Source organism: Homo sapiens, chromosome 13 (assembly GCF_000001405.40).
Source record: "Homo sapiens chromosome 13, GRCh38.p14 Primary Assembly".
Lineage (NCBI taxonomy): Eukaryota > Metazoa > Chordata > Mammalia > Primates > Hominidae > Homo > Homo sapiens.
The window spans coordinates 107,776,773-107,789,789 of NC_000013.11; the positions used below are offsets into that span (position 1 = coordinate 107,776,773).

Sequence of the window (13,017 nt, forward strand, 5' to 3'; positions counted from 1 at the left end):
AGTTTTAGTGGTGGCTTAATAAAAATACTGAAAATTGGCCGGACATGTTGGCTCATGCCTGCAATCCCAAAACTTTGGGAGGCCCAGGCAGGAGGATCCCTTGAGACCAGGAATTTAAGACCAGCCTGGGCAATGTAGGAGGATCCTATCTGTACAAAAAATCTAAAAACTTAGCCAGGCATGGTGGCTCACGTCTATAGTCCCAGCTGCTTGGGAGACTGAGGGGGGGAAGATGCTTGTGCCCAGGAGGTTGAAGCTTCAGTTAGCTGTAATCCTGCCACTGCACTCCAGCCTGGGTGATGGAGCAAGAACCTGTCTCAAACAAACGAACGAACAAAAAACTGGTAACATTTACTGATATTTCTATATCTGGCAATTTTCCCGAAACTTCACATAAAGTATCTTGCACGGCTGTCACAGCATCCTCATGAGGAAGATTTTATTATTGTACCTATTTTATAGGTAAGAAAATTATGTTTAGAAAAAGTTTAAGATTTGCCCCAAACAGACAACTAGGAGGTGGTACAGCCAGAAGTCTGCCTCTTGAGCTTTATCAGCCGATAGCTAAGTATAAAGAAAGGCAGATACACCCATTGACGTAATTTGGATATTTGTCCCCACCCAAATCTCACGTTGAATTGCAATCTGCAATGCTGGAGGGCCAGCCTGGTGGGAGGTGTTTGGATCACGGGGGCAGATCTCTCCTGGCTTGCTGCTCTCTTTATGATAGTGAGTGAGTTCTCGCAAGATCTGCTTGTTTAAAAGCGTGTGGCACCTTCCCCGCAACTCTTTCTCTTGCTCCTGCATTCGTCATGTAAAGTGCCTGCTCCAGCTTCTGCCTAATTGTAAGCTTCCTGAGGCCTCCCCACAAGCTAATGCTGGAGCTATGCTTCCTCTACACCCTGCAAAACAGTGAGCCAATTAAACCCTTTTTCTTTACCCAGCCTCAGGTATTTCTTTGTAGCAATGCAAGAACGGCCTAATACATCCATCAATGCCTTTAAGAACAGAAATTTAATTTTATGTAAATTATAGGAAAGGAAGAAAGTGGCAGTTATTGAAACTTGAGGGGAAAAAAGCTTTCAAAGGCTCCCTGATGTATGTTTATGGAATTTATATGTTTAACAAAAGGGAAACATATTTTTACAACATACTCCCAGAAATGTTCTTCCTTTGCCTTTGTGACATTGTTTTTACTTTCTATCTTGTTCAAATTCTCTGCTGATTCATTTGCTGATGAATTAAAAATATAATTTAATAAGATAGATTCAAATTGCACATTTTACTTTTTAAATAATTGACTCCAAATCCTGCGATGAGGGAGACCTGGGTAAATGAAATAACGTGTGAAAACACCCAGGACTTCTGGGGTGACTGTTTAACAGGAGTGAACAGAGAGACTGGGCTGCCAAAACTCCCCTGCAAACTGAGGCTGCATGAATGGAATGACAGGATTCAGAACAAAGGAAACATCTGTCTTCCTCCATCCCTTGGTGTAAAGGAATGTATTTGGAGCATCATGCTTAAATCTGGTCACCATGTTTTAAGAAGGAATTTAATTAGAGTGTGCCCAGAGGAGGAAATCCAGAAGAGTGGAACATCTAATGTGACACTGTGTGAGGAGTGGTTAAAGCAACTGGGAATATTGAACTTGAACTGAATTCTTAAAGGGGGTATGATCACTGAATTCAAATTTTAAAGACCTGTATGTGGAACTGGAATTGGAAAAGATATGACTCTTGATGGCAGAACTAAAGTCAATGGCTGGCAGTCTGTTGAAAGCAGGTTTCAGGCTAGGATTAAAACAGGAGTTGTTTTTTTTCTGTTTTTTTGTTTGTTTGTTTTTGTATTTGTTTGTTTGAGTAAACTGCCTATGTTTAGAAGGGCCTAAGCACAAATTTTCAGTGTGGACAGGAGATGGAGACCATAAACCTTAGGGTCTCTCCCTATTCAAAGGCCCCATGACTCAGTTTTCATGCTGAACCCTCTTTCTTCCCTCCCCACTCATTCATCAGGTCAGTAAGGGCTCCCTCAATCACCTGTTGTTACTTGATGATTCCCTGAAAACAGCCTGTGGCTCTCAACATCAGTTCTCACTATCCAACTATCACCTCCAAAACCTATATGTATTAACCATAAACTATCAGATTTTTCCCAGGATCAATTATTTTTATTAAAAAAGTATTACTATTTAACTATTTAACTCTTCTTAACCTTACCTTCTCTACAGTCAATAGTCAAGTTCTGCTGCTTCTTTCTTTTATAGGTCGAGATTTATGAGAAGCTAATTATTTCATATTTTGAATATTTTGGCTGAATTACTGTAGAGAGATGAAATATTTTTGCAGCTTTATGCTTTTCTCATGCATAAATTTCACTGACCTTTCATTTTTCTGCTATGCATTATGTTGATCTAAATAAGGGATGGATGTGTTTACACCTGCATTCTTATAAAATTAATTCTAATATCCTAGTTTGTGGTTTCCTCTCAGGCCATTTTAATCCTGCCAAAGTTTGCTCAGAACCAGAAAAGGCTACCTCTGATATCACCTTCATGACTACATGTGGAAAGGCATTATCACATCTTTAAGTCATTTTCTTTCCATATGTCCTTTAAGGAGTATCCAGTTCAGATCCTATACATTATCTGAGTCACACTTATGATGATATTGCTTCCAAATCGGATCCAGTGGCTTTCAAACATTCCTGTATTTCCATGTGCCTTACAATGCTTACAGTGAGTAGGGTGAAGGAGATTCTCCTCCTATTCCTCCACTTGAAATGCTCTTCACTGCTCACACTCCCTTGGAGCCAAACCATTCTAGCTGACAAAAGTGCGTTGATTCCTGGCTTGCCAAGCACTCGTTCTGTAGTCTGCCTTTTAAACTAAGTTTGACACTGAATTTTCATACATTAAGCTGAGATCTCTACACAGTTGGATGAGTTAATTAATACTTTGAAGTTTCCCATTGAATCCCTTCTTTTACCCCTCTTGTCTCCACCTTCTTCTAAAACCTCAGTTCTAAAACCTCAGGAAACATATTTTTACTTATTGAATAGATACAAACAACTCAATATCCCCTTTTCATTTCATGCTTGGAACCCTGAACTTGGACAGTCTCTGCTGTAAATGTTAAAGTACGCTTCCTGGTCTTAAGCCATTTGGAAAACAAAATTGCATTTTTAAAAGTTAGTATGGAATGTTTATCTTCATACAAATGTACTCTTATTACTTTGTTCTCTATCTCCAAGACATACTTTTTTTTTTTTTTTTTCTGAATGTACTTTACAATTGCTACTGCGGTTTTGTTGTTGTGGTTGTGTTGTTGTTATTGCAGAAACATTTGTTTGTGGCCCGTGGCAATCTCCTACATAATTTACTGCCCTTAGATTTAAAAACTCCTTGCAGTTAGCCAATCTCAATCTTCCCTTACACTTATATGTGTGATCCTTTCACTATTTGTAGTTTGCCTTCCCTTCTTAATTTCCGTATTTCAGCTCCCACCCAACTAAACACTTTACCTTTTACTCAGGTTCTCCACTTTTTCACAGTTTTTGCTTGCGTTCAACACTGACATTGGGCACAATTTTTCTGTGCCTTAGAAAAAAAGTCCTGTCTTTGCTCAATTTTAAGTTTCTGATGTTTAATATAGGAATGATTAAAATTATGGTTATTTCTCACAGGTGTTGAAAGTACCCAATGAGACAACGTATTGGAAAAGAGTTTTAACTTTTTTTTTTTTTTTAAGACGCAGTCTCACTGTCACCCAGGCTGGAGTGCAATGATGTGATCTCGGCTCACTGCAACCTCCTCCTCCCGGGTTCAAGCAATTCTCCTGCCTCAGCCTCCTGAGCAGCTGGGATTACAGGCGCCCACCAACAGTGGTGGTGGCTCACACCTGTAATCCCAGCACTTTGGGATGCCGAGGCAGGTGGATCATCTGAGGTCAGGAGTTTGAGACCAGCCTGACTAACATGGTGAAACCCTGTCTCTACTAAAAATACAAGAGTTTTAATTTCTGTAAAGTGCTAGGCAATGATGATTACTACTCTGTAACCATTTTACATGGGCCCCCAACTGACTTCATAATCTTTTTGTAGTGCCTTTACTGATAAAAATCTGAGCTCTTGAAAAATGGAGACCAAGTTTTTATTCATCTTTATATTCTTAGCATTTAGTATATTGCTGATGGCATTTTAGATGCTTATTTATTGAATTGGATAATATATGCTAAGTGTTTTATCAGTTGCACAAACTGGAACATAGGAGAAATGTCAAATACTTATCAAATTTATAGTGGATTTGCATCACTTTTTACTGTTGATAACACTAAAAATTTCTTCTTGTGCCAGGAGAAAACTAATTAGTATTGTCTATGCTAATATTATTATATGGTTATCATATGAAAAATTTCATTTTGTTTCTGTGTTTTTTGAAACCAGAGATGCCTCTGCAAAAAAAGAATGTTCATTTTTAATTTAATAAATCTTTAACATACTAATCATTTAAAGGTAAAACAGGGTGCTATATGACAGAGTATCTACTTGTAGCAGAGGCTGTATTACATAAACCTTAAGAGATTTAAAAATCAACATTCCATTGAAGAAACAGCCTGAGTATAATTTACAGATTTTTTTAATCTGATCTACATTTTGGATCTATACAAAATATTACTTCAGTTTGCTCCCACCCCTACATATAAATACTCTGTCTCCTTTCTAACTCCAGGGGCTATTTAAATTTATCCACATCTATCCTTCCCTTACTAATAACATTACATATTTGAATTGTGTTTTGAGAGCTTGATGTTTGGTCAAATCACTTAAAAATGTATCAGCAACTCTCACTAAATGACAGAATCAAAGATGTGCCAGCTTACTAGATCACATTAGATCCATCCTCAGGATCTCTTCTTTGCACTGCTTCATTTGGTGCACAATCTCATTTTGAGTCAGATGTCACTGCTATACGCCTCTAAAAGCTCTATTCTTTGACGTTAATTGTTTATTTAATTGCATGTTGCTGTTGCCTGCATTGCCTGTAATCATTATGTGGACAACTAATACAAGTTTTATTAATTATCAAACCCACACTGCCTAGCTTAGTATAGTCTGTTGAATGAATAAATGAACCAAACACTGTTTTGTTATTGTTTTGTTTTATGTTTTGCATTATTGCTTAGTTGGTGATAAAAATTGTAAGGAAAGGCTAAGTTACACTTCTGTGCAATGGTTTTATAAGAAAATCTTCTCTCCCTCTCCCTCTCCCTCCTCTCCCTCTCCCCACGGTCTCCCTCTCCCTCTCTTTCCACGGTCTCCCTCTGATGCCGAGCCGAAGCTGGACTGTACTGCCGCCATCTCGGCTCACTGCAACCTCCCTGCCTGATTCTCCTGCCTCAGCCTGCCGAGTGCCTGCGATTGCAGGCGCGTGCCGCCACGCCTGACTGGTTTTCGTATTTTTTGGTGGAGACGGGGTTTCGCTGTGTTGGCAGGGCTGGCTTCCAGCTCCTTACCGCGAGTGATCCGCCAGCCTCGGCCTCCGGAGGTGCCAGGATTGCAGACGGTGTCTGGTTCACTCAGTGCTCAATGGTGCCCAGGCTGGAGTGCAGTGGCGTGATCTCGGCTCGCTACAACCTCCACCTCCCAGCCGCCTGCCTTGGCCTCCCAAAGTGCCCAGAGTGCAGCCTCTGCCCGGCCGCCACCCCGTCTAGGAAGTGAGGAGCGTCTCTGCCTGGCCGCCCATCGTTTGGGATGTTAGGAGCCCCTCTGCCTGGCTGCCCAGTCTGGAAAGTGAGGAGCGTCTCTGCCCGGCTGCCATCCCATCTAGGAAGTGAGGAGCGCCTCTTCCCGGCCGCCATCCCATCTAGGAAGTGAGGAGCGTCTCTGCCCGGCCGGCCATCGTCTGAGATGTGGGGAGTGCCTTTGCCCCGCCGCCCCGTCTGGGATGTGAGGAGCGCCTCTGCCCGGTCGCGACCCCGTCTGGGAGGTGAGGAGCGTCTCTGCCCAGCCGCCCCATCTGAGAAGGGAGGAGCCCCTCCGCTTGGCAACCGCCCCGTCTGAGAAGTGAGGAGACCCTCCGCCCGGCAGCCGCCCCGTCTGGGAAGTGAGGAGCGTCTCCGCCCGGCAGCCGCCCCGTCCAGGAGGGAGGTGGGGGTCACCCCCCGCCCGGCCAGCCGCCCCGTCCGGGAGGGAGGTGGGGGGTCAGCCCCCCGCCCGGCCAGCCGCCCCGTCCGGGAGGGAGGTGGGGGGTCAGCCCCCCGCCCGGCCAGCCGCCCCGACCGGGAGGGAGGTGGGGGGGTCAGCCCCCTGCCCGGCCAGCCGCCTCGTCCGGGAGGTGAGGGGCGCCTCTGCCCGGCCGCCCCTACTGGGAAGTGAGGAGCCCCTCTGCCCGGCCAGCCGCCCCGTCCGGGAGGGAGGTGGGGGGTCAGTCCCCCGCCCGGCCAGCCGCCCCGTCCGGGAGGGAGGTGGGGGGGTCAGCCCCCCGCCCGGCCAGTCGCCCCGTCCGGGAGGTGAGGGGCGCCTCTGCCCGGCCACCCCTACTGGGAAGTGAGGAGCCCCTCTGCCCGGCCACCACCCCGTCTGGGAGGTGTGCCCAACAGCTCATTGAGAACGGGCCATGATGACAATGGTGGTTTTGTGGAATAGAAAGCGGGGAAAGGCAGGGAAAGGATTGAGAAATCGGATGGTTGCCATGTCTGTGTAGAAAGAAGTAGACATGGGAGACTTTTCATTTTGTTCTGTACTAAGAAAAATTCTTCTGCCTTGGGATCCTGTTGATCTGTGACCTTACCCCCCAACCTTGTGCTCTCTGAAACATGTGCTGTGTCCACTCAGGGTTGAATGGATTAAGGGCGGTGCAAGATGTGCTTTGTTAAACAGATGCTTGAAGGCAGCATGCTCGTTAAGAGTCATCACCACTCCCTAATCTCAAGTACCCAGGGACACAAACACTGCGGAAGGCCGCAGGGTCCTCTGCCTAGGAAAACCAGAGACCTTTGTTCACTTGTTTATCTGCTGACCTTCCCTCCACTATTGTCCTATGACCCTGCCAAATCCCTCTCTGTGAGAAACACCCAAGAATGATCAATAAAAATAAAAATTAAAAAAAAAAAAAAAAAGAAAATCTTATAAAAACCATTTACTGTGAGAGATGCACTCACTTCTTCTTCTACCTAGTATACTTTCAGAGCTGAGCTCCCGGGAGGCAGTAGGATTACTATGTGCTGATTCCACACAACCGCTCCCCTCAGTGAGTGACTGAGAGAAGACGTCTCCTTCCAAGAGCCATGAAGAGGTGCCAGCTGTAGATAGTATTTTAGATGCCAAGCTGCATGGGATTTCAGGAACACTTGTACACAATAGGATCTACATATACTTGTTTAGTTTAGAAAAGTAGATTTCCACAAAGACACGCAAAGAGTAGCGAAATAACTACTGCCCCGCTGACTTTCAGTGATGGGTCTCAAGTAGAAATTGTGTTTTTAAACAACCCGAACAGGAGGTGAAAGCATGGAAACCGCATGCTGCAGGTAACTACTGAAACAAGCAATTATCCTGTGCTATCATACAAAGGCATCCACAAATACCAGCATAGCTGTTCCTAGTTGTCAGTTCATAAAAATTTTTCCTAGTAAATTATTCACTCATTTTCTTCTTTATATAGAATAGAAAGCTCCTCGGATTATCTTAAAGTGTCACAGATGAAACATTTTAAGGTCTGTTCTGATCAATATTTAAAGTCAAATTAAAAAGAGGTTGCTCCAGTAGGAAAAAAACAAACAAACAAACAAACAATTCCCTCAAAAAGTGGGCTAAGGACATGAATAGACGATTCTCAAAAGAAGATACACAAATAGCCAACAAACATATGAAAAAATGCTCAACATCATTAATGATCAGGGAAATGCAAAATAAAACCACAATGCGATACCACCTTTCTCCTGCAAGAATGGCCATAATCAAAAAATCAAAAAAAAAGTAGATGTTGGCGTGGATGTGGCAATTAGGGAATCCTTCTACACTGCTGGTGGGAATGTAAAGTAGTGCAGCCACTATGGAAAACTGTGTGGAGATTCCTTAAAGAACTAAAAGTAGAACTACCATTTGATCCAGCAATCCCACTACCGGGTATCTACCCAGAGGAAAAGATACCATTATATGAAAAAGATACTTGCACACGTATGTTTATAGCAGCACAATTCACAATTGCAAAATCGCGGAACCAACCCAAATGCCCAAATGCCCCATCAATCAACGAGTGGATAAACTGTGGTGTGTGTGTATGTGTCTGTGTATGTGTGTGTGTATGTATATATACACACACATATATATGTATGTATATGTATATATATATTCATATATATGTGTGTGTATATATATATGGTTTTGTAAGTAAATCTTATAAAAACCATTTACTGTGAGAGATGCACTCACTTCCTCCTCTACCCAGTACACTTTCAGAGCTGAGCTCCCAGGAGGCAGTAGGATTACTATGTGCTGATTCCACAAAACCGCTCCCCTCAGTGAGTGACTGAGAGAAGACGTCTCCTTCCAAGAGCCATAAAGACATGGTCTATATGATGGAATACTACTCAGCCATAAAAAGAAATGAATTAACAGCATTTGCCTCGACCTGGATGAGATTGGAGACTATTATTCTAAGTGAAGTAACTCAGGTATGGAAAGCCAAACATCGTATGTTTTCACTAGGTGGGAGCTAAGCTATGAGGATGCAAAGGCATAAGAATGATACAATGGACTTTGGGGACTTGCGGGGAAGGGTGAGAGAGGGGTAACAGATAAAAGATTACAAATAGCATTGAGTGTATACTACCTGGGTTATGGGTGTACCAAAACTTCACAAATTACCAGTAAATAACTTACTCATGTAACTAAATACCACTTGTACCCCAATAACCTGTGGGATAAAAAAGAGATTGCTCCAGTGAGATGCAAATAAATACCTATAATAATGGTTCCCCTTTACAGACTTTTTGAAGGCTGTACTTTGATGACAGTGGTTCTCAAACCTACAGAAACAAAGAATAATTTTCTGTAATCCTGGTGAACGTGTTATCAATCAGGATCTTACAGGCCACAGAGGACACTCAAATTGGGACAATGTGAGGAGGTTTTATTTAGAGAGAGAGAATTGTGGGCAAGAGGTAGGGGTACCATGAACTTTGGTGTAAAAGCCAGGCAGAGTGTTCCCACAGCCAAGACTCAAAAGACAAGACTATGGAGAGGGCTCAGAAAGAAAGTCACAGAGTCCCAGAGACAGTTTCTTTTAGAAGAGCAAAGGTTTTGTTGAGGACTTAGCCAGGACAAGGAACCCTCACAGGAAGGAACTCAAGAGAATTAATGGGCAGGGTGAGGTGCTCATGCCTGTAATCCCAGCACTTTGGGAGGCTGAGGCGGGCAGATCATCTGAGGTCAAGAGTTCGAGACTGGTCTGACCAACATGGTGAAACGCCATCTCTACTAAAAATACAAAATTAGCTGAGCGTGGTGGTGCATGCCTGTAATCCCAGCTACTTAGGAGGCTGAGACAGGAGAATCATTTGAACCTGGGAGGCAGAGGTTGCAGTAAGCTGAAATCGCACCATTGCACTCCAGCCTGGGCAACAAGAGCGAAACTCTTTCTCAAAAAAAAAAAAAAAAAAAAAAAAAAGCCGGGCGCGGTGGCTCACTCCTGTAATCCCAACACTTTGGGAGTCTGAGGTGGGCGGATCACCTGAAGTCAGAAGTCAGGAGTTTGAGACCAGCCTGCCCAACATGGCGAAACCCCATCTCTACTAAAAATAAAAAAAATTAGCTGGGCGTGGTGGCGGGTGCCTGTAATCCCAGCTACTCGGGAGGCTGAGGCAGAAGAATCACTTGAACCTGGGAGGCGGAGGTTGCAGTGAGCCAAGATCGCGCCACTGCACTCCAGCCTGGGCAACAAGAGAGAAACCCCATCTCAGAAAAAAAAAGAGAGAGAGAGAAAGAGAGAGAGAATATATGCCTGACCTCAGGCTCTTCTCTCCCTCTCATCTCCTTCCAAGGCAATCACTTTTCTCGCCAAAATGACTATGAAACTCACTGAAATCTAACTCACTGATGCTACAGGTCCACTTCTAGGAGCTGAGAGCGGAGCAAACAATGTTGGAAAGTAGATCTAGTGGGGACAATGGACGCCTGAGATATCTTCATTTCTGAAGTAAGAGCACTGAAGTTCAGAGAGATTCATACCCTGAGTGGTAGATATACCTGAGAATGTTTATATAATCATTTCATGCTATTATTTCATTTAGTCTCCTACACCTACTCCTGACCTACAAAGAAAATATTAGATCTATTATGTACATCTAATATTACTCTTTTAAGATAATATTAAACTATCATCACTATTCATTACTGAAGATTTAAGAAAATACTTTTAACCAGTTCTTTGTACACCCATAACAGAATATATTCTTATGTTGATGAGAAATCCATATATATGCATAAACACTAATTTTTTTCAATAATCTAAAACTCTGGCCTTAAATTTTTCCAATAATATGTTTACAGCTGAAAATATTATCATCACAATTATATGGTAAGAATGTCTATGTAATTGGTTTATTTAAAGATACAAACTTTATTAGAAGCTCAAAGGTAATGCAAAGTCAGACACATGGGTTGAGTCCCAAATATGCCTTCTGTTCTCTTTATGATTCACAGTTTATGGGTCTATAGTTTTACAATCAATGACACCAAACCTGTTGTTACGTGGGTCACGGTAAAGCAATTAATTAGCTAATACCAATATTTCCGTGTCTTTTTCTGACTTTCAGAGAATGGAATTGAGAGCTACCTGACTCTTGCTACATTCCCGTAACTAGTATATCATTTATTCTAGTAAATGATTAAGTACAATTAAGTATTTCTGAAGTTATGTTTTTAGAAAAAATTACTACCAGTATAAAACCTCTTGCAAACTAATACATCTGTCTCATAGAAAATACTTAAAGCCACTCTTTCCTGAACACTGTAGTATATGTGCTTGAATAATAAGTGCATCTACTGATAAATAATAAGTGCATCTGCAAATCCAATCTTCCTAGGTAATATAATTCTTTTTTTAGACCTTGATAATTTCATTCATTGTTAGGAATTGAAAGCTTTATCTTATATTACATCCTTATCCCCAGGTTAGATGTGCATCTGCCAACCCACGGTTTGCATGAATTGTCCCTTGAATCTCTCAAAGTCAGCGTGTCCTGAGTTGACTTCACCATTTCTTTAGCTTGCCCAGCGGAGCCACCATCTAGACATTTGGGTCAGTCTGTACTCTGGATGTCATCCTTAGCATTTAAATCTTCTTCATCCTCCTTGTTTGAATCCTGTCTATTGTAACTCCTTTTTTTTCTATTTTCTTCATCCTATCATCCCAAAATTAGCTTATCCTCCTTGTTTTTCAACTGGATCATTGTAACAGCCTCCCAGTTATTATCTGCGTGTCTCATTTTGCCCTCACTGATCTGTTGTCCATAATTGGGCCCAAATGTTATGTTTTTTAAAGTCAATCTATCTGATAACAAAGTTTCCCTTTTTAATTTTTCTATTTGGGACATTCATGGTCTGACATCATCTCTCTCTCTCTCTCTCTTCTTCCTGCACTGGTGGATCTTGTTGAATAAATGCACTTTTCCAAATGTGTTCAAGTCACTACCTTTCTTCCTGCAATATCTTCTTCCTCTCTCTTCCCATGGCCAATCTCTAGTTGAAATTTTGGATTCACTCTAGCCCTTTCCTCTTCCAGTAATGGTTCCATGACTGCCCAGTTTTTCCTCATGTGTGATAACACAGCACTTGGAATCTACCGGCACATGGCCGCAGTCATTACACAGCTCTGCTGAACATGTCCATGTCACCCACTGCAGGGCAAGCTCCAGAATGCAGGGGCTTATCTGGAGGACCCCAGCAGCTCATTTAGCAGCTAGAATATATCTGCCAATCAATGAACGCAGTTTGATTGTATCCTTTTTTTAAAAAAAAAAAATTTTGTCACATAGACAGAAGGCTTGCCCAATTGCTGAAGGATAGTGGCAACCGGAAAGCGTTTGTGGAAAAAAAAAATCAACAATATATGATAATTATTGAAATTCTGGCCTGGAGGTTGGCCATAATAGAAAGCAAATATGGTTAACCTAGTTAAGTTAATGGAACCTTAATTAGATAGCAGAGAAACTCCAGTGTCTGTCACAAGTGCCATTCTGACTGTGGTGAGGAAACTGTCAGGGGGTGACACAGAGCTCTGTGTGACTTGACCTCTCCCTCGGGTTGCCGTGGAGTGGATCACAGGCTTATCTGAACTGGATCAAGAGAAGAAATAAGAATTAGGAAACACGATGAAATAACAGAAGGAAATTTTGTGTGTGTATACAAGTAAAGGACAAGAGAGATCATGATACTACAATTAAAATTTTAGTGGCTTGGCTTGAATTTACTAAAATTAAATTTTGATAAGACTGTGATCTCTACTCCACAGTTTAATTACAACAATAAGTACAGAGTGATTTCACAATTTTTGAAAATCTCTTTTGCTTTAAAAAGTACTTCATTAATTCAGTTACAAATGGGTATGAATGTCGTCAGGCAATTCCTGTCTTAAAATCATAAAAAGTTCCACCTTACAGGATAAAATCTTTATACACAGATCGTTTATTGTTGGGAAACTATGCTTACTTCATCTTTATCTCATCATTTCTTTGTCATTCTGGATCATGAGATATACAGGCTAGAAAGAGCAAGAGTGAAAAAGAACAGAGACATAGTAAGCAATGGCTACACCCCAAACACCATCACTTTTTTGTTCTTTTTTAAGCATCAAAATCATACTAAAATGGAAGCAAACATTCTTTTTCCATGTTAGAGATAATAAAACTGAGACTCAGACAGATTCTTTTTCAGGGTGATATAGCTACAAAGTGGCAAAATCAGAACTGGCACCCAGGTCTCCCAGCCGAATGCCCATGCTCTCTGCACGGCAAT

General features: G+C 42.1%; 1 protein-coding gene and 1 long non-coding RNA gene across 2 annotated transcripts in view; both read right to left on the minus strand.

The window, feature by feature from the left end:
- NALF1 (NALCN channel auxiliary factor 1) overlaps nt 1–13,017 on the minus strand; it is a 703,987-nt gene that overhangs the window by 613,263 nt on the left and 77,707 nt on the right. The gene's annotated exons all lie outside the window — the stretch shown is intronic.
- NALF1-IT1 (NALF1 intronic transcript 1) overlaps nt 10,589–13,017 on the minus strand; it is a 48,098-nt gene continuing 45,669 nt past the window's right edge. Inside the window, exon 2 of the long non-coding RNA NR_046848.1 lies at nt 10,589–12,338. This is a non-coding gene — a long non-coding RNA (NALF1 intronic transcript 1). The remainder of the gene's footprint in view (nt 12,339–13,017) is intronic.